This window comes from Homo sapiens, chromosome 2, assembly GCF_000001405.40.
Source record: "Homo sapiens chromosome 2, GRCh38.p14 Primary Assembly".
NCBI lineage: Eukaryota > Metazoa > Chordata > Mammalia > Primates > Hominidae > Homo > Homo sapiens.
Genome location: NC_000002.12, coordinates 38,388,816 through 38,413,058, shown reverse-complemented (window position 1 = coordinate 38,413,058; position 24,243 = coordinate 38,388,816). Strand labels below are relative to the sequence as shown.

The 24,243-nt window shown below is 46.3% G+C and overlaps 1 long non-coding RNA gene across 1 annotated transcript, besides 3 other annotated features; it reads right to left on the bottom strand.

Annotated features, from left to right (window-relative positions):
• Positions 1–431: 431 nt before the first annotated feature.
• On the bottom strand, positions 432–4,340 carry LOC105374468 (uncharacterized). Its single transcript, XR_939974.3, has 3 exons — positions 4,081–4,340; positions 3,876–3,966; positions 432–1,268 (listed from the first exon to the last, which is right to left on the bottom strand). It is a non-coding gene; the product is annotated as an uncharacterized LOC105374468 (long non-coding RNA).
• Positions 5,748–6,387: an enhancer, noted in NCBI's record as "NANOG-H3K27ac hESC enhancer chr2:38633814-38634453 (GRCh37/hg19 assembly coordinates)". NCBI's record gives its function as "activates a minimal SCP1, AML or CMV promoter by ChIP-STARR-seq in naive H9 embryonic stem cells {active_cell/tissue: H9 hESC(naive)}" and the evidence as "EXISTENCE:reporter gene assay evidence [ECO:0000049][PMID:30033119]".
• Positions 15,569–16,069: an enhancer, noted in NCBI's record as "H3K27ac-H3K4me1 hESC enhancer chr2:38624132-38624632 (GRCh37/hg19 assembly coordinates)". NCBI's record gives its function as "activates a minimal SCP1, AML or CMV promoter by ChIP-STARR-seq in naive H9 embryonic stem cells {active_cell/tissue: H9 hESC(naive)}" and the evidence as "EXISTENCE:reporter gene assay evidence [ECO:0000049][PMID:30033119]".
• Positions 17,966–18,166: a silencer, noted in NCBI's record as "peak3665 fragment used in MPRA reporter construct". NCBI's record gives its function as "represses an SCP1 promoter by STARR-seq MPRAs in K562 erythroleukemia cells {active_cell/tissue: K562}" and the evidence as "EXISTENCE:reporter gene assay evidence [ECO:0000049][PMID:32103011]".

Genomic DNA, 24,243 nt, shown 5'->3' with positions numbered 1-24,243 from the left:
CCCATACCAAGGGCTCTTCTCCTCTTGGTGCTCCTGGGATAAAAGTAGTAGCAGCCAGTATTTATTGAGCAAGTGATATGAGCAGGCACTGTGTGAAAAGCCTAATTCATATTATCTCACTTATTTCTCACTATAAGTCTCTATCGTCATTTTTTAGATAAGGAGACTGAGACTAAGAGGTTGTCATTTGCTCAAGATCACACAGCAAATAGGAGTATAATTCTTTCATTTTTTCTAAATGTCTTAATCACTCTGACTCACACCTGTGTTGTTTTAGTCTTTTTGGTCTTCTAGTCTTTTTCTGAGGTTTCCACTTTAGCTGTTTGCTAGGTAACTGCCCATCAGGTTCACCTTGCCCGCTGCCTAGACAGAGCCAATTTACCGAGACAGGGGAATTGCAATAGAGAAAGAGTAATTCATGCATAACCGGCTGTATGGGAAACCAGAGTTTTATTATTACTCAAATCAGTCTCCCAAGCATTCAGGGATCAGAGTTTTTAAAGATAATTTGGTGGGTAGGGGCTTGGAAAGTGGGGAGCACTGATTGGTCAGGTTGGAAATGGAATCATAGGGGGTCGAAGTGAGTTTTTCTTGCTGTCTTCTGTTCCTGGGTGGAGTTGCAGAACTGGTTGAGCCAGATTATGGTCTGGGTGGTGTCAGCTGATCCATCAAGTGCAGGATCTGCAAAATATCTCAAGCACTGAACTTAGGTTTTACAACAGTGATGTTATCCCCAGGAGCAATTTGGGGAGGCTCAGACTCTTGCAGCCAGAGGCTGCATGACCCCTTAACCATAATTTCTAATCTTGTAGCTAATTTGTTAGTCCTGCAAAGGCAGACTGGTCCCAAGACAAGAAGGGGGTCTTTTCGGAAAGGACTATTACCAATTTTGTTTCGCAGTTGAAGCATAAACTAAATTTCTTCCCAAGGTTAGTTCGGCCTTTGCCCAGGAATGAAGAAGGGCAACTTAAAGGTTAGAAGCAAGATGGAGGCTGGGTGCAGTGGCTCACACCTGTAATCTCAGCACTTTGGGAGGCCGAGGCAGGCAGATCACCTGAGGTTGGGAGTTCGAGACCAGCCTGACCAACATGGAGAAACCCCGTCTCTACTAAAAATATAAAATTAGCCGGGCGTGGTGGCACATGCCTCTAATCCCAGCTACTCGGGAGGCTGAGGCAGGAGAATTGCTTGAATCCAGGAGATGGGGGTTGTGGTCAGCCGAGATCAAACCATTGCACTTCAGCCTGGGCAACAGAGTGAGACTCTGTCTAAAAAAAAAAAAAAAGAGAAAAGATGGAGTCAGTTAGGTCTGATGTCTTTCACTGTCATAATTTCCTCAGTTATAATTTTTGCAAAGGCAGTTTCACCAATTTCATTACCATATCTACAAATTCAAGTGCATCCAGCAGAGTTAACCCCTCTAGATTGCAAACGTGAAAATAAGGATTTATTTTGCCTGTCGTGTTTACAACTATATCTCCTGCCACATAATAGGTACTTTATATATATTTGTCATATGAAGGATTAATTGAATGGGCTGGGCATAGTGGCTCAATTCTGTAATCCCAGCACTTTGGGAGGCCAAGACAGGAGGATTGCTTGAGGTCAGGAGTCTAAGACTGCAGTGAGCTATGATGCCACCGCATTCTAGCCTGGGAAACAGAGTAAGACCCTATCTTAAAAAAAAAAAAAATTGTGGAAGACAGTGTGGCGATTCCTAAATAATCTAGAACTAGAAATACCATTTGACCCAGCCATCCTATTACTGGGTATACACCCAAAGGATTATAAATCATGCTGCTATAAAGACACATGCACACATATGTTTACTGTGGCACTATTCACAATAGCAAAGACTTGGAACCAACCCAAATGTCCATCAATGATAGACTGGATTAAGAAAATGTGGCACATATACACCATGGAATACTATGTAGCCATAAAAAGGATGAGTTCATGTCCTTTGTAGGGACATGGATGAAGCTGGAAACCATCATTCTCAGCAAACTATCGCAAGGACAAAAAACCAAACACCGCATGTTCTCACTCATAGGTGGGAATTGAACAATGAGAACACTTGGACACAGGGAGGAGAACATCACACACTGGGGCCTGTCATGGGGTGGGGGGAGGGGGGAGGGATAGCATTAGGAGGTATACCTAATGTAAATGACAAGTTAATGGGTGCAGCACACCAACATGGCACCTGTATACATATGTAACAAACCTGCACTTTGTGCACATGTACCATAGAATTTAAAGTATAATAATAATAATAATAATAATAATAATAATAATAATAAAAGATTTATTGTTGAATGAATGATATGTCAACAGAAACTCAGATCCAGGGATTTGCTTTTGGGCTGGGATCAGGCCTCTTGAACTAGGATCTGGGTGGGGATCTATCCACAATATGTGGCTGGGTTCTGAAGACTGCTTGCATATCTTTTAAAATCCTGAAAGGTAGCATAATTGCTCAAGAAAAGTATGTCTATCCTTGGTATCAGGACCAAAACGAAATTTATCCTGAGAACCCTCATAAAGACATCTTGCATAATGAATACAACCCGTTTTCAACAACATCCATGAGGAAACACCATGGAGATGCGCTATGGTGCTTTCCTTTGGCTACACGCAGTAAAGGTGGATGGTGGCTTCTAGAAGTGCAATCAGAAGCCACCAGGCCTGGCCGGGCCTGTAATCCCAGCACTTTGGGAGGCCGAGACGGCTGGATCACCTGAGGTCAGGAGTTTGAGACCAGCTTGGCCAATATGGTGAAACCCTATCTCTACTAAAAATACAAAAATTAGCCGGGCAGTAGTGGCATATGCCTGTAATCCCAGCTACTCAGAAGGCTGAGGCAGGAGAATCTCTTGAACCTGTGAGATGGGGTTGCAGTGAGCCAAGACTGCACCACTGCACTCCAGCCTGGCCGAAAGAGTGAGACTCTGTCTCAAAAAAAAAAGAAAAAGGAAAAAAAGGAAGCCACCAGGCCCAAGCCTTGGATGTCCCTGAAGAGGAGCCTCCCTCTCTGTTTTAAGCATCCCTTCTCCCTCTCTGGCTCTTTGTGTGGGTTTGCATTCTGAGAGCAGTTGGGCACCCTGGGGAGATTTCATTCTTGAATTGCTCTAAAAACAGCACTAGAAAATTTAAACACATGCTCACACTCACTCTATGTTTTCTCTTGGGCTCATTACTTACCCCAAAAGACACTAGATCTAAAAGACCATTCCACTTGGAGGAAGCCCAAAGGATTGAAAAAGGTCTCATTGCTTTCCAAATAAGATGATGGAAAAATGCAAAACAACCCAGCAACAGCCACCCAGTTTGATGCTGGTGCCCTTTATTTCAATGCAAATTTAAGACAATCATGGCTCAAGAAAGAGAAATGAAACTGTGCAGGACCTGGCCCCATAGAAACACACATTTTCATTCTCTGTGGCATGCTTTGCTGACGTTACAGAATTTTGGAAAAGTCAATTATTCACAAGTAAGACTTGTAAAATTCTCTAGCCCATAAAGAGTCTTACAATTTTCTCTGGAACTGCAAAATAAATTTTAGACTTATCATTTTGTCATTTAAAGTCCCCAGATCTAGAGCCAGAATACTTAGGGATGCTGGCAGAGTTGCAGGAAAAAAAACTTCTCTCCCAAGGCTTTGTTCTGTTCCAGCGAGCCTGCCAGTTCTGCCTGTACATCCAGTGAGGGGTTGTGTAATCCCAACACTTCTGGGAGCCTACCAACCCTAGAAGAGCCTGTCTCCAACTTTAACCTGGCCTGGCAGGTCCCCCAAACAAAGAACCACTTCATTGTCTGTAGAACCAGTTTGGACCACATTCTGCTGGATTTAAATCTATAATCCACCCACCTACCTGGCACAGGTGGCTAAGAAGTAGTTCTTTTCTGATTTGTATGCCAGAATTTCTGGGCTGTGTTTGGTTTTATCTTTTTCTTCCCCTTCATCTATAACAAAAGAGAGGAAACAGAGGGTATGAGAAGTGTTGCACATCCCCATGGAGGACAGCACCAGAGGGTGTGACCTCAGACCACAACATGGGAAATGTTAGTGACACTCACGGAAGAGTTCCAGGCCGGGTGCAGTGGCTCACACCTGTAATCCCATCACTTTTGGAGGCCGAGGTGGGTGGATCACTTGAGGTCAGATGTTTGAGAGTAGCCCGGCCAACATGGTGAAACTCCGTCTCTACTAAAAATACGAAAATTAGCGAGGCATGATGGCATGCACCTGTAGTCTCAGCTACTATTCGGGTGGCTGAGGCAGAAGAATTGCTTGAACCCAGGAGGCAGAGGTTGCGGTGAGCCAAGATTGCACCACTGCACTCCAGCCTGGGCAACAGAGTGAGACTCTGTCTCAAAAAAAAAAAAAAAAAAAGAGTTCCCCTGCCAGGGCAAGTGATGGACACTAGGAATGGACTCTGCTCCCCGATGTTGGCATAGGGGTATTGGGCAGGTCCGATTTCCCCTTTTAGCCACAGGAAGTAGACTGGACTGTTCAAAGTTATGACCTAAAGGGTATCAGGAAGGTCCTGCCTCCATGTATTTCTCTTTTTAATATGTCCACTGTTAGGACTTCGTGTCTGATTGAAAGTTGTTGAGTTTTAAAGAATAACCTACAAAAGCTGGGCGCGGTAGCTCATGCCTGTAATCCCCGCACTTTGGGAGGCCAAGGTGGGTGGATCATGAGGTCAGGAGTTCAAGACCAGCGTGGCCAAGATAGTGAAACCCCATCTCTACTAAAAATACAAAAATTAGCTGGGTGTGGTGGTACATGCCTGTAATCCCAGCTACTCGTGAGGCTGAGGCAGAAGAATTGCTTGAACCCGGGAGGCAGAGGTTTCAGTGAGCCGAGATCGTGCCACTGCACTCCAGCCTGGGCGACAGAGCGAGACTCCATCTCAAAAAAAAAAAAAAAAAGAATAACCTACAAAAATGTAATTATTTTGTGGAAGGTTTTGCCTGAAACAGTTTTCTGGTAAAAACATTCATAGAAGGGTCACACTCAAGTACTACAAATGCATCAACATTTCCTTAAAGATTTCTATTAATGGAGAATTAAAGCCCACAAGAGCTGTGAAGTTGACTTTCAACAGTCTTTGACTAGGATCAGGAATTTTATGCTTTTTAACTCCTTGTTCTGTCACTGATTCTCAAGGCTTAGGCTGGAAGAGATGGAAAAGAGGGAGTTGACCTCTTCCAGGAGTTGGCCTGGAGGAAACATTTTGTCCCCAGATCCCAGCGCCTCCCAGTGCCACTGGCAAATTAAAACAATGCTTAGGGACCTCTTTATGCCATCAGTGGGTTGAGGACATAGATGCAGGTGAACAAAGAAAAGAGGGCTGAAAGAAGAGAGGAGGAAAAAAAACAGGAGAAAGGGAAGGCTTCAGGGAAGGAGGGTCAAGTCTAGCACCAGCAAATTTGTTGGAGAGGCTATACTCAGTTGCCCTCCCAGCCGTGGGCTGCTGACAGATGGTCTGTGGATGTGTCTGAAGGTGCAGGCACAGGGGTGGAAGTGGCACTGGCCTGGACCACAAGGGTTCTAGTCCCTGTTCTGTAGTAACTAGCTGAATGACCTTTGGTGTTTTTTATCCGTAACAGGAGGGGGTTGGCCATATGGTCTCAAAGGTTGCTTCCAACTGGAGCAGTTCCTGGGTTGTGAAATGGTGATAATTTTGAAAGCCTGTGACTCCACCACCAGTAGGGAACCACACCTTATGCAGAGGACGTCCTAATTAACCCAAAGGAATGATTAGCTGTGGAGGTTTCTGTCCTCCCCACCCCCGCCAGTTCCCAACTGTTGAGTCTCATTGTTGGTAGAAAGTTTATAGGAAAAGTGCTTGGAAACTGTTGCTGGTCTTCCTTCCTTCCTTTAACCTTGAGATAAGAATGCCTTTGTTTGAGTCTCAAGCATGTCTCAAGTTATGTAACTCACTTGTATTAAAACTCTCCCTGACTGTTTTATATTCAGCTTTCTAGCTGCCCTGGTTTGCAGCTTTAATTGAATAGGTGGCCTTGTATTTATGCTAATTTTTTGTCTTTCTCTTTCAGATCTCCATGGGATAACCACATTGGTTTGTTTAGTAAACACTGAGACCAACTCCACCATCCAGAGGCCTGACAGACAAATGGCCTGAGACAGGGCTGGGAAAGTTTTGCTTCTGGTTGGGACTTCAGGAAGAGTTTTGTTTTGTTTTGTTTTCCCCCAAGGGAACAAGCCCTTGAATCCGGGAGGCCAAGGTTGCGGTGAACCGAGATTGCGCCATTGCACTCCAGCCTGGGCAACAAGAGCGAAACTCCGTCTCAAAAACATAAAAAGTAAAAAAGATATGTACGTCAATGTCAGACTTTCTGTGCTGGATGGAAGGACTCTGAGCCTACCAAAGGAAGCGTATTTACAAACCTCTAGGTACTGACTTGTTGCTGAAGGTCAGAAATTTGCAATGACATTTGGATGTATTCAAGGGTGGAGGGGCAGGTTTGGGGAAAGTTCTTTTAAAGAAAAAATGCAAAATTTGATTACAAGAAGCTGGGGTGCCTCCCAGGGCCTCGGAAAGGGCTTGCACAAGTGAAGCACCCTGAAGATAATGCTTCATTAGCTTTACAGTGAAGCCACCTCTGAATCTCTGTTTGGTGTTTGTCCAAAATATTCCAAGTTGAAGGCAGGCCTGATTATATGATCGCACAGCAATTTTCCTGGGGAAAAGTCTTTTGCTGCCAGTTCTTCCTCTGCTATGAATAGGTCTTAGTCTCGTGCTCTCTTTTCTATCTATACCCTCTCCCTACTCCAGGGGTCCCCAACCCTTGGGCCACAGGAACCAGGCCACACAGCAGGAAGTGAGCAGGGCGAGCGAAGCTTCATCCCTATTTACAGCTGCTCCCCATTGTTTGCCTTATGCCTGATCTCTGCCTCCTGTTAGGTCAGCAGTGGCATTAGATTCTCATAGGAGTGTGAATGCTATTGTGAACCGCCCATGCGAGGGATCTAGGTTGCACACTTCCTATGAGAATCTAATGCCTGATGATCTGTCACTCTCTCCTATCACCCCCAGATGGGACCATCTAGTTGCGGGAAAACGAGCTCAGGGCTCCCACTGATTCTACATTATGGTGAGTTGTGTAGACAAAAAGAGTCCAACTGTAAAATATTTGAAGATATTTATTCTGAGCCAAATATAAGTGACCAGAGCCCGTGACACAGACCCCAGGAGGTCCTGAGAACACGTGCCCAAGATGGTTGGGGCACAGCTTGGTTTTATACATTTTAGGGAGGTATGAGACATCAATCAAACACATTTGAGAAATACTATAGGTAAATTTAAACATTTTCTGGTTGACAATTGGTTGAGTTTTCACCATGTTGGTCAGGCTGGTCTCAGACTCCTGACCTCAAGTGATCTGCCTGCCTTACCTCCCAAAGTGTTGTGGTTACAGGCATGAGCCACCACACCAAACTGACCTTGCAAAGCTGTCCTTTGTGGGGGAGAATTTGAATCTGTAAAGAATCTTTATTAACATAGCTAGATCTTTTTGTAGCTAGAAAAAGGCCCTCCTAATCCTAAAGAGATTAACTAAGAGTCTAGTACCTTTTAAAGGTCTGAATAGGAAACATTTCTCATCTATTGTCTCTAAGGACAGTCACTGTAAGACCTCAAAGGAACTTTGGCCTCCACAATCTTTTATCTTAACCTGAACATTTCTATCGATCCCTGAGTAGCTGGGATTACAGGAACGTGCCACCATGCCCAGCTAATTTTTGTATTTTTAGTAGAGACGGGAATTTCACCATGTTGGCCAGGCTGGTCTTGAGCTCCTGACCTCAGGTCATCTGCCTGCCTCGGCCTCCCACCATCTCAGCATCTTTGCATCTGCTCTTCCCTTTGCTTGGAGCACTCTTTCCCCAGAATTTCATTCTCATATTCAAGATGTAGCTCACATGTTGCCACCTTCTCAGAGGTTCTCAAGGAGACCTTCCCTGACCACCCAACCAAAGAAACCTTCTAGACCCTTTCTATTGCACCACTCTGCTCTATTTTCTTTTCTTTTGAGACGCAGTCTCGCTCCGTCACCCAGGCTGGACTACAGTGGCACGATCTCGGCTCACTCCAACCTCCACCTCCCAGGTTCAAGCGATTCTCCTGCCTCAGCCTCCTGAGTAGCTGGGATTACAGGCGCACACCACCACGCCCAGCTAATTGTTGTATTTTTAGTAGAGACGGGGTTTCACCATGTTGGTCAGGCTGATCTCAAACTCCTGACCTCATGATCCGCCCGTCTCAGCCTCCCAAAGTGCTGGGATTACAGGCGTGAGCCACCGCGCCTGACCATGGACACTCATTTTTTTTTTTTTTTTGAGATGGAGTTTTGCTCTTGTTTCCCAGGCTGGAATGCGATGGCACAATCTTGGCTCACTGCAACCTTTGCCTCCTGGGTTCAAGCGATTCTTCTGCCTCAGCCTCCCGAGTAGCTGGGATTACAGGCATGCACCATCATGCCCAGCTAATTTTGTATTTTTTAGTAGAGATGGGGTTTCACCAGGTTCACCAGGCTGATCTCGAACTGCCAACCCCAGGTGAGACTCCTGCCTCAGCCTCCCAAGTGCTGGTATTACAGGAGTGAGCCACCGTGCCCAGCCATGGACACTCATTTTTTTTTTTTTTTTAATGGATCATTCTTGGGTGTTTCTCACAGAGGGGGATTTGGCAGGGTCATAGGACAATAGTGGAGGGAAGGTCAGCAGATAAACAAGTGAACAAAGGTCTCTGGTTTTCCTATGCAGAGGACCCTGCGGCCTTCCGCAGTGTTTGTGTCCCTGGGTACTTGAGATTAGGGAGTGGTGATGACTCTTAACGAGCATGCTGCCTTCAAGCATCTGTTTAACAAAGCACATCTTGCACCACCATTAATCCATTTAACCCTGAGTGGACACAGCACATGTTTCAGAGAGCACAGGGTTGGGGGTAGGGTCACCGATCAACAGGATCACAAAGCAGAAGAATTTTTCTTAGTACAGAACAAAATGAAAAGTCTCCCGTGTCTACCTCTTTCTACACAGACATGGCAACCATCCGATTTCTCAATCCTTTCCCCGCCTTTCCCCCCTTTCTATTCCACAAAACCGCCATTGTCATCATGGCCCGTTCTCAATGAGCTGTTGGGTACACCTCCCAGACGGGGTGGTGGCTGGGCAGAGGGGCTCCTCACTTCCCAGAAGGGGCAGCCGGGCAGAGGCGCCCCTCACCTCCCGGACCGGGCAGCTGGCCGGGCGGGGGGCTGACCCCCCCACCTCCCTCCCGGACGGGGCGGCTGGCCGGGCGGGGGGCTGACTCCCCCACCTCCCTCCCGGACGGGCGGCTGGCCGGGCGGGGGGCTGACCCCCCCACCTCCCTCCCGGACGGGGCGGCTGGCCGGGCGGGGGGCTGATCCCCCCACCTCCCTCCCGGACGGGGGTGCTGGCCTGGCGGGGGCTGACCCCCACCTCCCTCCCGGATGGGGTGGCTGCCGGGCAGAGACGCTCCTCACTTCCCAGACGGGGTGGCTGCCGGGCGGAGGGGCTCCTCACTTCTCATATGGGGCGGTTGCCAGGCGGAGGGTCTCCTCACTTCTCAGACGGGGTGGCTGGGCAGAGACGCTCCTCACCTCCCAGACGGGGTCGCGGCCGGGTAGAGGCGCTCCTCACATCCCAGACGGGGTGGCGGGGCAGAGGCGCTCCCCACATCTTAGACGATGGGCGGCCGGGCAGAGACGCCCCTCACTTCCTAGATGGGATGGCGGCCGGGAAGAGGCGCTCCTCACTTCCTAGATGGGATGGCGGCCGGGCAGAGACGCTCCTCACTTTCCAGACTGGGTAGCCAGGCAGAGGGGCTCCTCACGTCCCAGACGATGGGCGGCCAGGCAGAGACGCTCCTCACTTCCCAGACGGGGTGGCGGCCGGGCAGAGGCTGCAATCTTGGCACTTTGGGAGGCCAAGGCAGGCAGCTGGGAGGTGGAGGTTGTAGCGAGCCGAGATCACGCCACTGCACTCCAGCCTGGGCACCATTGAGCACTGAGTGAACCAGACTCCGTCTGCAATCCCGGCACCTCGGGAGGCCGAGGCTGGCGGATCACTCGCAGTTCGGAGCTGGAGACCAGCCTGGCCAACACAGCGAAACCCCGTCTCCACCAAAAAAATACGAAAACCAGTCAGGCGTGGTGGCGCACGCCTGCAATCGCAGGCACTCGGCAGGCTGAGTTAGGAGAATCAGGCAGGGAGGCTGCAGTGAGCCGAGATGGCAGCAGTACAGTCCAGCTTCAGCTCGGCATCAGTGGGAGACCGTGGAAAGAGAGGGAGAGGGAGACCGTGGGGAGAGGGAGAGAGGGGAGAGGGAAAGGGAGAGGGAGAGAGAGAGGGAGAGGGAGACCGTGGGGAGAGGGAGAGAGGGGAGAGGGAAAGGGAGAGGGAGAGAGAGAGGGAGAGGGAGAGCGAGAGCCATGGACACTCATTTTTTAAGGACTCCAATAGAGTTCACTGACAGCATTCTTACATAATTATAATATTTTGCATCTGTACTTTTTACTTTTCAAAAGATTTTTACATACATAGTCTCATTTCCACCTTAAAACAACCAATGAGGTAAGTAGGAGAGGGGTAGTTAATGTCCCTGTTTTAAAGATGAGTAAATTGAGACTCATCTTTAAAACAAATTAAGTAAATTGAGGTGGGATGGCTTATCCAAAATTTTCCAGCCAATAAGTGACAGCAGCCGTCTTCTTCTGTCAAGACCAGCTCTTTTCTCATTTGGTCTCATATTTCTAAATCTTGTTATTTCTCCTGGCTCCTTAGAACAAAAGAATTCATCCATGTAAGGTATGAGAAAGCACCTCTCTCTCAGATGGAAGGAAAAGAGAGCTTGGGTTCCATATGAAGGTTTATGACAGAGAGCCCAAACTTCACTTGTGGTTTACCAGTCAGGCTAATTATGACCGAATGATAACGATTGAGGTTGGACAGTAATAACACACTCCCTCAGTGCAGTAGACTTTTTCACCTGTCATGAAAATGGTGAGGGACTTTAATTGTCATTTTGATTTAATGTCAAAAGCATTGACTGCAGCACAATTTCACATATTTCACCTTAAAGGCAAATCTAATGACGGTGAATGAAGAATGAGAGCTAACTTCACTATTTTTAGAAATAGAGGTAATAGGAATAATAATAGGAATAATGTTTTTCTAAAATTGCCTAGAGAATCAGTGACAGAACAGGGACTTAGGAAGCATGAAATTCCTGGTCCTAGTCAAAGACTATTGGAAGTCAATTTCCACAACTTGTCTAGGCTTCAATTTTCCATTAACAGAAATCTTTTTTTTTTTTTTTAGAGGAGTCTTACTCTGTCACCCAGGCTGGAGTGCAGTGGTGCGATCTTGGCTCACTGCTACCTCCACCTCCCGGGTTCAAGTGATTCTCCCACCTCAGCCTCCTGAGTAGCTGGGACTACAGGCATACGCCACCACACCTGGCTAATTTTTGTATATTTAGTAGAGACAGGGTCTCACCATGTTGGCCAAGCTGGCCTCAAACTCCTGACCTCAGGTGATCTGCCTGCCTTGGCCTCCCAAAATGCTTGGATTACAGGTGTGAGCCACCGTGCTCAGCCTATTAACAGAAATCTTTGAAGAAATATGGATGCATTTGTAATACTTGAATGTTACCCTTCTATGGATTTTTAATTGATAAATAACATACATAAAAAAGGGTGCAACTCATATAGAGCTCAATGAATTTTCACAAAGTGAACTCAAGCACATAAGCAGCTCCTAGATCAAGAAACCAAGACCTGAGAGTTCTCCTTTTGCCTCATTTTAATAAATACCATCCCCAAGGAAAGGTAACCCCATCCTGAGTCCTACTACAATGAATTATTTTACCTGCTTCTGAGCTTTATATACATGGATTCATGTAATATATTGTCAGTCTTTTTGGTCTGGCTTCTTTTGTTCCACATCATGTTGGTGAGACTTATTCATATTGTTGCTGGTAGCTATAGTTTTGTTTATTCTCACTACCCTGTGTTATCTTACTGTCTGAATATACTACATATCCATTCTATTATTGATAATCATTTGTGTTGTTTTCACTTTGGCTCTATTATGACTAGTGCTGCTATGATGATTCCTTATATCTTTTGGTGAAAAGATATAAGGATTTCAGTTGGGTATAAATCCAGGGTTAGAACTGCTGGATTATAGGATATACATATATTCATAGACATTGCCAGTTTTCCAAAGTTATTTTACCAATTTATTCTTGTATTGTTGATGTATGAGAGGTCTAGTTGCTCCACAACCTTGTCAACACTTGGCATTGTCTAGCTTTTCACTTTAGCCATGATTGAATGTGACCCATAATGGATTTTAATATATTTAAATTAGGATTAATTTGATTTTTTTTTTTTTTGAGACAGGGTCTCACTCTGTCTCCCAGGCTGGAATGCAGTGACACCATCTTGGGTCACTGCAACCTCTGCCTCCCAGGCTTAGGTGATTCTCTTACCTCAGCCTCCCAAGTAGCTGGGACTACAGGCACATGCCGCCATGCCCAGCTAATTTCTGTATATTTAGTAGAGACAGGGTTTTGCCATGTTGCCTAGGCTGGTCTTGAAATCCTGAGCTCAAGCCATCCGTTTGCCTTGGCCTCCGGAAGTGCTGGGATTACAGGTGTGAGCCACTGTACCTGGACAGATTAATGTTTTATGATTTTTAAATACAACTGTGAAATGATGCATAAGAAAACTAAGATTAGATGGAAATTAGACCAATTTTGATGCCCAATTATATCTTGTCCCCTAGTCTTGTCCCCTAGTTCCTTCATGTGTATAGGTTTGGCCCACTCAACAAGATGGTGAACTTCCTAAGGTCAAGGGCTGTGTTGTAGGGTTCTTCTGCTGTTGCTATGGCCTTTAGCACAGTATTGGCACAGAGTAGGTGCTGAGGAAGTTCTGATTGAATTAGGCTGAACTAATATGACAGAGGCAAGCCCACCAAAATCAATGGAATATCTCTCTGTTCACAGTTCTCTGCTTAATCACCCCATTTTCAGGTACTTCTTTTATTTTTTTTTTTTTTTTGAGACAGGGTCTCACTCTGTTGCCTAGACCGGAATGCAGTGGCGCGATCTCGGCTCACTGCAGCCTCTAACTCCCAGGTTCAAGCAATTCTCCCACCTCAGCCTCCCCAGTAGCTGGGATTACAGGCACACCGCCACACCCAGCTAATTTCTGTATTTTTAGTAGAGACGGGGTTTCACCACGTTGGCCAGGCTGGTCCCAAACTCCCAACCTTAGGTGAGCTACCCTCCTCAGCCTCCCAAAGTGCTGAGATTACAGGTGTGAGCCACTGTGCCTGGCTCAGGTACTTCTTAAGGTGATGAAAGGACCAAGAGAAAGAAATTCTAGAAAATATCCAAATCCTGTGTTCTTCCAGAGCCTACATTCCAAGTGCTGAAAATCTTTAGGTAGGATGAGCCCTTCTTTTTTTTTTTTTTTTTTTTTTTGGAGTCAGGGTCTCACTCTGTTGCCCAGGCTGGAGTGCAGTGATGCGATAATAGCTCACTGCAGCATAACTCCTGGCTCAAGCGATCCTCCCACCTTAACCTCCTGAGTAGCTGGGACTACAGGTGTGTGCCACCATGCCTAATTAAATTTTTTTTTTTTTTTTTTTTTTAGAGATGGGGTCTCCCTATGTTGCTGAGGTCGGTCTCAAAACTCCTGCAGCCCTTTTATTTTCAACTGCATTTTCTGAGGCATGTACCTTAGACTACCAGAAAGCAAAAACAGAAGACTCTTGCTCTGGCTTGTTAGGAAAGAGCACTGTGGTGTCCCTCCATGCTTAAAGAAATGTTTCGGAGTCAAAATGTCTGATCTTACAACACTAACCCGATTTCCTTATGGCTGAATCCAGTTTGATAGAAATTGCTCCGAAGGCCACACTAATCTCTAGGACACTTAGTTCCCCTTTTGGCTAATTTTTTAAGAAGCCGTACTAATTTTTAAGAACTATTTCTGTCCTCTCATAAGCTAAAGGATTTGTACTCAATGGCGTGTTTCAACATGCAGCACTATGTCATGCTATGCATATTTTTGCTCATATTGAATACTATTTCTGGACTGAGATCCTGAGATGTTAAGCTACTACACTTTACTAGCTTTACATAGTACTGAGTTTGGCATTACACACTTACTGAAAATAATTGGTGGAAATATCCCTCCTAGGCTTTCTTTCAGTTTTGTGCCCCACCATCCAACAAGAAAGATGAGTTTTAGGCTGGATGTGGGGGCTCAGGCCTGTAATCCCAGCACTTTCGGAGGCCAAGGTGGGCAGATCAGGTGAAATCAGGAGTTTAAGACCAGCTTGCGTAACATGGCGAAAGTCTACTAAAAATACAAAAATTAGCCAGGCACAGTGGCACGGGCCTGTAATCTCTGCTACTTAGAAGGCTGAGGCAGGAGAATCCCTTGAACCTGGGAGGTGAAGGTTGCAGTGAGCGGAGATTGCACCTCTGCACTCCAGCCTGGGCAAGAGTGAAACTCTGTCTCAGAAAAAAAAAAAAAAAAAAACCCAGGCGCGGCGGCCTACGCCTGCAATCCCAGTGTGTCCGGAATTGGTGGCTTCTTGGTCTTACTGACTTCAAGAATGAAGCCATAGACCCCCACGGTGAGTGATACAGTTCTTAAAGACAGCATGTCTGGAGTTTGTTCCTTCTGATGTTCGGATGTGTTCAGAGTTTCTTTCTTCTGGTGGGTTCTGGTCTCACTGGTTCAAGAGTGCAGCTGCAGACCTTCGCACGGGGTGTTACAGATATTAACGTGGCGCGTCTGGAGTTGTTCGTTCCTCCCCGTGGATTCATGGTCTTGCTAGCTTCAGGAGTGAAGCCGCAGACTTTCACGGTGAGTGTTACAGCTCATAAAGGCAGGGCTGACCCAGAATGAGCAGCAGTAAGATCTATCGCAAAAAGCAAAAGAACAAAGTTTCCACAACGCGGAAAGGTATTCCAGCAGGGTGCCACTGCTGGTTGGGGCAGCCTGCTTTTATTCCCTTATCTGGCCCCACCCACATCCTGCTGATTGGTCCATTTTACAGAGAGCTGATTGGTCCGTTTTGGTGCATTTACAATCCCTGAGCTAGACACAAAAGTTCTCCAAGTCCCCACTAGATTAGCTAGATACAGAGCACTGATTGGTGCATTTACAAACCTTGAGCTAGATACAGATTGCTGATTGGTGTATTTACAATCCCTTAGCTAGACATAAAGGTTCTCTAAGTCCCCACTAGACTCTGGAGTCCAGCTGGCTTCACCAAGTGGATCCCACACCAGGGTTGCAGGTGGGGCTGCCTGCCAGTCCTGCACCTTGCGTCCGCACTCCTCAGCCCTTGGGCGGTGGATGGGACCTGGTGCCATGGAGGAGGGGGCGGTGCTCGTCGGGGAGGCTCGGGCGGCGCAGGAGCCCATGGCGGCAGGGGGAGGCTCAGGCATGGCGGGCTGCAGGTCCCCAGCCCTGCCCTGTGGGGAGGCAGCTAAGGCTTGGTGAGAAATCGAGCACGGGGGACCCAGCACACCCTCTGCAGCTGCTGGCCCAGGTGCTAAGCCCCTCACTGCTCGGGCAGGCATGGTCTGCCAAGCCCATGCCCACCCGGAACTCGCGCTGGCCTGCAAGTGCCACATGCAGCCCCAGTTCCCGCCCGCACCTCTCCCTCCACACCTCCCCGCAAGCTGAGGGAGCCGGCTCCGGCCTCGGCCAGCCCAGAAAGGGGCTTCCACAGTGCAGCGGCGGGTTGAAGGGCTCCTCAAGCGTGGCCAGAGTGGGCGCTGAAGCCGAGGAGGCGCTGAGAGTGAGCGAGGGCTGTGAGGGCTGCCAGCACACTGTCACCTCTCACCAGCACTTTGGGAGACTGAGACAGGCGGATCACCTGAGATCAGGAGTTTGAGACCAGCCTGGCCAATATGGCCAAACCTTGTCTCTACTAAAAATACAAAAATTAGCCAGGCGCAGTGGCAGTCACCTGTAATCCCAGCTACTCAGGAGGCTGAGGCAGGAGAATCGCCTGAACCCGGGAGACGGAGGTTGCAGTGAGCTGAGATCATGCCACTGCACTACAGCCTGGACCACAGAGCCAGACTCTGTCTCAAAAAAAAAAGAAAAAAGGCCAGGCACGGTGGTTCACACCTGTAATCCCAACACTTTGAGAGGCCAAGGCGGGCAGATCACGAGGTCAGGAGTTTGAGACAAGCCTGGCCAACATGGTGAAAACCCATCTCTACTAAAAATGCAAAAATTAGCCAGGTGTGGTGGGCACCTGTAATCCTAGCTACTCGGAAGGCTGAGACAGGAGAATCGTTTGAACCCAGGAGGTGGAGGTTGCAGTGAGCTGAGATCGTGCCACTGCACTCCAGCCTGGGCAACAGAGCAAGACTCCACCTCAAAAAAAAAAAAAAAAAAAAAAGATGGTTTTTAATGGTCATAATCATGACATGGGGATTAAAGAAGGAAGAAAATTGGACCTTGAGAAACATATAGAGAGAGCTAATAAAACAGAGTCTATCTGAACCAGTTTTCAGAATCCATTTGGGACAGGCATATCAAAATAGGATGTGTGTGTGTCTGTGGGTAGAGGATGGTAGAAGAAATACATTCCTGAAAAGAATATTGTGGTAAGATCCCTGTAAGCATGTCAGCTAGTAATTGTATACTGTCACTAATGGGAACAGGCTTGTTCTGCAAGCTGAAATCATGATCAGCAGGTAATCAGATCTAGCGCTCCGGGGCTTCCCATGACTCAGTGACTGTTGTACACTAGAAACAAGGGGATGTTTTATTCTCTACTCTTCTGCTATCAGGGTTGGCCAGCTTCCCAAGGTTTGTGGGGAGAGGGAGGAGGGCTGTGAGGTTCAGGGTGTTTTTTTCTTTGGAGATGGGACTCATGTCTCTGATCTCCTGAAATCCCTCATCAATGTATTTGCTTTTCATTCTCTGAACTGGCTATAACTTTTTTTTTTTTTTTTGGAGACAGAATCTCGCTCTGTTGCCCAGGTTGGAGTGCAGTGGTGTGATCTTGGCTCACTGCAACCTCTGCCTCCTGGGTTCAAGCAATTCTCCTGCCTCAGCCTCCCAAGTAGCTGGGATTACAGGTGTGTGTCACCACATATGGCGATTTTTTTTTTTTTTTGAGTTGGAGTCCCGCTCTGTTGCCCAGGCTGGAGTGCAGTGGCATGATAGTGGCTCACTGCAACCTCCACCTCCCGGGTTCAAGCAATTCTCTTGTCTCAGCCTCCTGAGTAACTGGGACTACAGGTGCCTGCCACCACACCTGGCTAATTTTTGTACTTGTAATAGAGATGGGGTTTCACTGTATTGGTCAGGCTGGTGTCAAAACTCTTGACCTTAGCTGATCCTCCCGCCTTGGCATCCCAAAGTGCTGGGATTACAGACGTGAACCACCGCACCCAGCCAGTTAATATTTGTATTGTTAGTAGAGATGGGATTTTCACCATGTTGCCTAGGCTAGCCTCTAACTCCTGGCCTCAACTGATCCACCCTCCTCGGCTTCCCAAAGTGCTGGGATTGCAAGCATGAGCCACCAAGCCTGGCCAACTTGCGTTTTTGTTTTTGTTTTTTTTAACTCTTACTTTAGGTTCAGGGTTACATGAGCAGGTTTGTTATATAGGTTAATTGCATGTCACTGGGGTTTGGTCTACAGATTATTTCATCATCCAGGTAATAAGCATAGTGCCAGATAGGTAGTTTTTCCCACCATCCTCTTCCCACCATCCATCCTCAAGTCGGCCTGAGTGTCTGTTGTTCCCTTCTTTGTGTCCATGTGTACTTGATGTTTAGCTCCCATTTATAAGTGAGAACACGCAGGACTTGGTTTCTGTTCCAGTGTTAGTTCACTAAGGATAATGGCCTCCGGCTTCATTCATGTCCCTGCGAAGGACATGATCTCATTCTTTTTATGGCTGCATTTTTTGACTTTTTAATGATACCCATTGTGACTGGTGTGAGATGGTATCTCATTGTGGTTTTGATTTGCATTTCTCTAGTGATTAGTAACGTTGAGCATTTTGTGGCTTGTTGGCCACATGTATGTCTTTTTTTGAAAAGTGTCTGTTCTTGTCCTGTGCTCACTTTTTAATGGAGTTGTTTGTTTTTTGCTTGTAAATTTAAGTTCCTTATAGATTCTGGTTATTAGACCTTTGTCACGAGTATAGTTTGCAAATAGTTTCTCCCATTCTGTAGGTTGTCTGTTTACTACTCTGTTGATAGTTTCTTTTGCTGTGTGGAAACTTTAGTTCAATTAGGTTCCATTTATGAATTTTTGTTTTTGTTGCAGTTGTTTTTGGCATTTTTGTCATGAAATCTTTGCCCAGTCCTATGTCCAGAATGGTATTTCCTAGGTTATCTTCCAAGGTTTTTATGGTTTTAGGTTTTATGTTTAAATCTTTAATTGGTCTTGAGTTGATTTTTATATATGGTGTAAGGAAGGGGTCCAGTTTCAATCTTCCACATATAGCTAGCCAGTTATCCTGGAACCGTTTATTGAATAGGGAGTCCTTTCCCCATTGCTTGTTTTTGTCAACTCTGTCAAAGATCAGATGGTTGTAGGAGTGTGGCATTATTTCTGGGCTTTCTATTCTGTTCCATTGGTCTATGTGTCTGTTTTGGTACTGCTACCGTGCTGTTTTGGTTACTATACTGGCTATGACTCTTGAGTTAGGTCCATTAGGTAACTCCATGGGCATTTTTGATTAGGTAGCCAGGGGCCATGAGTTCAAATGCTTGAGATGGGCCAGGCAGATAGCACAAGTGTGAAATGGAGTCTGTGGCAAGTTGGAGAATCTATTTCTGATCAAAGGGGGACCCACTAGTCAGCTTCAGACAGTGGTCACTATATAAGTAGACTGGCTCCGGTGGTCAGATCTTCAGATAGTTTTTTAAACCAGAAATCTACTTTTTTTTTTTTTTTTTTTTTGAGGCAGTGTCTTGGTTTGTTGCCTAGGCTAAAATGCAGTGGCACGATGATGGCTCACTGCAGTGTTGACATCCTGGGCTTAGCAATCCACCCACCCTCAGCCTCCCAGGTAGCTAGGACTATAGCCATGTACCACTACACCCAGGTAATTTTTAATTTTTTTGTAGAGATGGGTCACACTTTTAAAAATGTGTGTAATTTTCTGATTTTAATTGTTTGTAATTAATTTAAAAATTAAAAAAATCACTTTGTAAGCCAACTATATGAGCATCAAACAAAACGAAGCTTCAGGTTTCATTCAGTCTCCCAATCCTGTCTCCTGGCTAAATTGATTTTCTGAGGGGAAAAACCCAACATTTATTCAAGTCACTTCAATTTATGGGGGGCTATATTATAAGGATGCATGTGACAATAAGATAAACAGGATTTTCAACCATGCAGCAAGGCATCGCTGAAACCCAGGAACTCTGTACACAACCCAGGTCAAGGGAAGAACAAGGACAGCACATGCCTGATGCTTAGTGATAACTGGAAGGTCCTTTCTCACCATCCATGGTGTAACTTAAGCTTCTCAATTGGTGGCTTGTTTCAATATAAACCACATGTAGCTCACATTAATTTCTCTGGGAACTGTAGAATTCTTGACGGGTTCTCGGGGGTTCCTGTTGTATAAAGGCCTTCATTACTTTAGTTATACCCAAGTGAAAGGGGCATTTACCTCGTGACAAGTGGATTATAGGAGAAAAAGAGGAGATGGTAGGTCAGAGTGTGCTTAGAAGTCATGCCCAGTGTTCTCATCAATGCCAGACATTACGGGCTGCCCTTCCATCAGCCATTCTACCCTTCTTCCTGCTAACAATATCCCAATTTTGTTCAGGTATCAGGCCACTTAATATGTTTCAGGGAAAACTGGTTCCAGCCCAGAGCAGTGTGGACCTTGATTACATCAAACTAATCATGGTGAGTCCATTTTCCTTGCCAGAAATTCGTTTAGGAGTGGACATGTATTTCACTTGTGAGTACACAAGAGACTGAGGAAAAGTCTAAGGGGGCTTCTGGGAAATTTTCCTTCTAATAAGAAGAGATTCAAGGCAGAAAGTAGACTCTTTTTTGTTCCCCTGTTGTATCTTTACGGGGCACTTACAGCTTTGGCAACCAGTTTGAGCTATGCAGGATAAATATGCGAACAAAAGTCAACTTATAGAGGAAGAAAAAAGCAGAAAATTGGAAAACAAAACAAAACAGGTGCCTTAATGCTGTAATTGAACAGTGAGTTAACCCAACCCTGAAACCATCCTACCTTTGAACTTACTGTGATATGAGATATTACCTTCTCCTTTTTTTTTTTTTCTTTTTTTGAGACGGAGTCTCGCTCTGTTGCCCAAGTGGGAGTGCAGTGGCGTGATCTGGGCTCACTGCAACCTCCACCTCCCAGGTTCAAGTGATTCTTCTGCCTCAGCCTCCTGAGTAGCTGGGACTACAGGCAGGCGCCACCACGCCCGGCTAATTTTTGTATTTTTAGTAGAGATGGGGTTTCACCATATTGGCCAGGCTGGTCTCGAACTCCTGACCTAGTGATCCACCCCCCCCCCGCCCCCCCGGCCTCCCAAAGTGCTGGGATTATAGCGTGAGCCACAGCGCCCAGCCTGCCTTCTCCTTTTTATTGATGCCATTTCTGGTTGGGTTTTCTGTTACTTTCTGCTAAAGCATCCTAACTGAAAAATGTATTATCAGTGATTTTCCACTTAGAATATTGAAAAAACCGGCCAGGCACAGTGGCTCACGCCTGTAATCCCAGCACTTTGGGAGGCCGAGGCGGGTGGATCACAAGGTCAGGAGATCGAGACCATCCTGGCTAACATGGTGAAACCTCGTCTCTACTAAAATTACAAAAAATTAGCCGGGTGTAGTGGCGGGCGCCTGTAGTCCCAGCTACTTGGGAGGCTGAGGCAGGAGAATCGCTGGAACTGGGGAGTCGGAGGTTGCAGTGAGCCGAGATCGCGCCACTGCACTCCAGCCTGGGTGACAGAGTGAGACTCCATCTCAAAAAAAATAAAAAATAAAAAATATATTGAAAAAACCAGCTTTCCCCTCAAGACTAGATTGTGTCCACAAAGAACTTACTAGAGGCAGGATACGAATGCTAACGTTGGCCTTTATGCTCAAAGAAAACGCCTCCACAGGTTACAACTGTCTGTGTGTGGAGGAACCTGCTCAAGGCGTGGGTGTGATCAGAGGTCTCACTGGTGGGAGAGGAGAGCTATTTTGGGTATTTGTGGTGGATTGGGAGCTTGTGCTCCATACCATATCCCTAGGTGTACTATGTGGGGAATCAAGTGCCATCTTGGAGGTTTTTTTTTCTTTTTTTTTCTTTTTTGAGACAGGGTCTCTGTTACTTGGGCTGGAATGCAGTGGTGTGGTCATAGCTCACTGTAGCCTCGAACTGGTGGACTCCAGTGATCCTCTTGCCTCAGCCTCTCTAGTATCTGAGACTATAGGTGCACACCATCATGCTGGGCTAATTTTTATATTTTTTGTGTAGACAGAGTCTCTCTACGTTGCCCTGCTGGTCTTCAACTCCTGGCCTCAAGCAATTCTCCTACCTCGTGATCCTCCTGCCTCAGCCTCCCAAGTTCCTGGGGTTTCAGGATGAGCCACTGAGACTGACTTTGCAGTCTTAGACTTAAATCACCATGCTTATTGAACTGTAAAGGGTCCAGATTATCAAAGGATCTCAATCCTACAAAGTACCTTTTGGCTGTGATCACTATTTGCAAGCCCAGTGCAGACACTGCTCCCCCAGGCTGGGTCTACCAGATCCCCACCCCCTGTAGCTCCTACATTTCTTTCTGTTTCCCCAGCAGCACCTCATAAATCTCTCCTCTATTAAAGTATTTGCTGCTGTTGTCCTTTCTATTTCCCTCCCACCTTCATTGTCTGCGTCCTTCTCCCAGCCCCGCAACGGGGAATGAATAGCTGGCCAAATTACTGCTTTGGGGAATTGCTTTAGTGAATGCTGGAAAGGATAGACCAGAAAGTAAGATGTTATTCTTCATTCCTTGCTTGTGGGGCTTGGGACCTCCATTGTCTAGTGATTGGGTTCGGATTCTCCAGAATCATATTGGACTTGAGTACATTCCATTATTTCTTTTTTTTTCATTCCAGAATTTTTGGTGCCTAATTTCTCTTTCCTCCCACTGGACACACAATGGATACTCCTTTGCTTCAGTTACACCTTCATAAACCTGACTTCCTCTTAGTCCCTCTTTCCCATTCTCAACTGCTCACAAGGAGCTCCTTCATCCCATAATATTCATCTTCCTGACTTTTCATCAGAGGCCTGTTATTTTGCTTCCACCCTTCTGAGAGCGTCTGGGTGTGTACCTGGAACTGCAGTGGTCTCCTGGAACTCTCCTGATTTACTTGGGGGAAATAGCCACGTAGCAGTCTTCTGAATATAGTGCTTAATCTCCACTGCTTTCGGCTCCCTGCAGAATGGCTACCAGCTCTCCAGTTTTCATATAAGCATTATGATATTAAAACCACTCAACAGTAGTTCTCCTTGTCAAAGAATTAGACTGAAAGAGTCTGTGTTCTTTTACACAATTGCAACTTTTATGAGAGAAATAACCTGCCAATCTTGTAGAGAACAAGTACCCAACCTACAGACATGGTGAATTCCTTCTAGCTTTTTGTCATTGACCTGTATGTGATAAAATCCTCTCAGTCACCATCAATTAAGGATGAAATAAAGGAAAACATGAACGTATGTAAGGAGAGAGCCCTAATTTGGGATACAAGGGTGGTATAGGTCTTGACCTTCAGATTTAAATATGCCCGTGAACTAGAATCTAAAAATGCTGTTTTCCCATATGGACCTGCATATTCTTGGTTCTCCCTACTTAAAATAAGAACAGGAGGAAAATACTTAATCTATGCTGAAATTACTAACTATGATTATTATAAACATCTGCTATGGGGCAACTTTGACCTACCAAGCTGGGGCCAAAATATAGCTAGTGAGGACAATATTTCTTTTTCAAGTCCCTTTCAGCTCCTGCCTCCCTCTTCCCAGTGTCAATTTGCACCTGTTGTTGTCTCCTTGTTTTGTGCTGGGTTGGTCAAACATCCAGGCCCCTGTGGGGAAGACAGGTAGGATTCATTGCAAGCAAGGCCTCAGAGGTGAATGGTGGGGGAGAGGCACAGTCTCTGTTCCTTGCCTGCCCTCTTGGAAGGTGTCAGAGACCCATGGTTAGAACAGTGAGGCCAGAAACAGAGGAGTTGGCTTCATGAGACTTTGAGGCATTCCCAGCAAGAGGTGAGAGCAAGAAACTGCAAAACTATTTATGAGAGACTTTGGGAATCTTTAGGCACAAGCAGAATTGCTTAGGAACAAAGCATGGCTGTGCACAGAATTCTCCTCAGCTGTGGTACCCAGTGGACCAGAGACTCTAGGAGCATCAGCGGTCTGCAGGCTTTGCACAGACCTGGCTTTCTTTATGGGCACTGTCAGCAGCAGCAAGGATATGGCTCTGTCTTGAGAGTGCTGAGGGAAGCAGATGCTGATGGAGAGGGTGTTGGAGAATCACATGAACATCAACACTTGCTCAAGAAATAACCATGCAACAAGCCTATAAATGATACTGGTATGTTGCAGTCCCTTCAGTTTTGTGGTAATGAAGGTACATAAAGGTTAAACACATTTTCAAGGGTTCTTATCACAAATTCAGAATTGGAATCTGGAGCCCTGTTGCTCCAGTCTCTGGGTTACCCATAGCAAGTGTGGTTATTTCTAAAAATATGCAACACATGGTTGTGCTGGGAGAGAGCGTGCCCTGGAGATGCTGCAGAGGCTTCTCGAATGGAGCAGAAAATGGGTACGAGATGGAGGGGGTGGGTTGCTGCTGCCAGCACAACCCTACTACCAGGTCTCCTGGTTACCCCAAGAGGGGCTCTTTCTTGCTCGGTGCACACAAAACTGAAAGTGAGTGTCAAGCAGTGCAGGCTGTATTTCATGGCCACAGAATGGGAGAAGTGGGAGCACAGCTCACAAATCAACTTCTCGGCTCCTGGGAACTGGGAAGTTCCGCATGTAGGGTTTTCTTGATGAAGGGGCTGAGCATTAAGATCAAGGAGAGGTGTATTTATGCTTTTTCTTGGGAAGGGACAGAGATTTACTTGGAATCAAGGAGCCGCCTCCCTTTTGTCCTGTTTTGGTT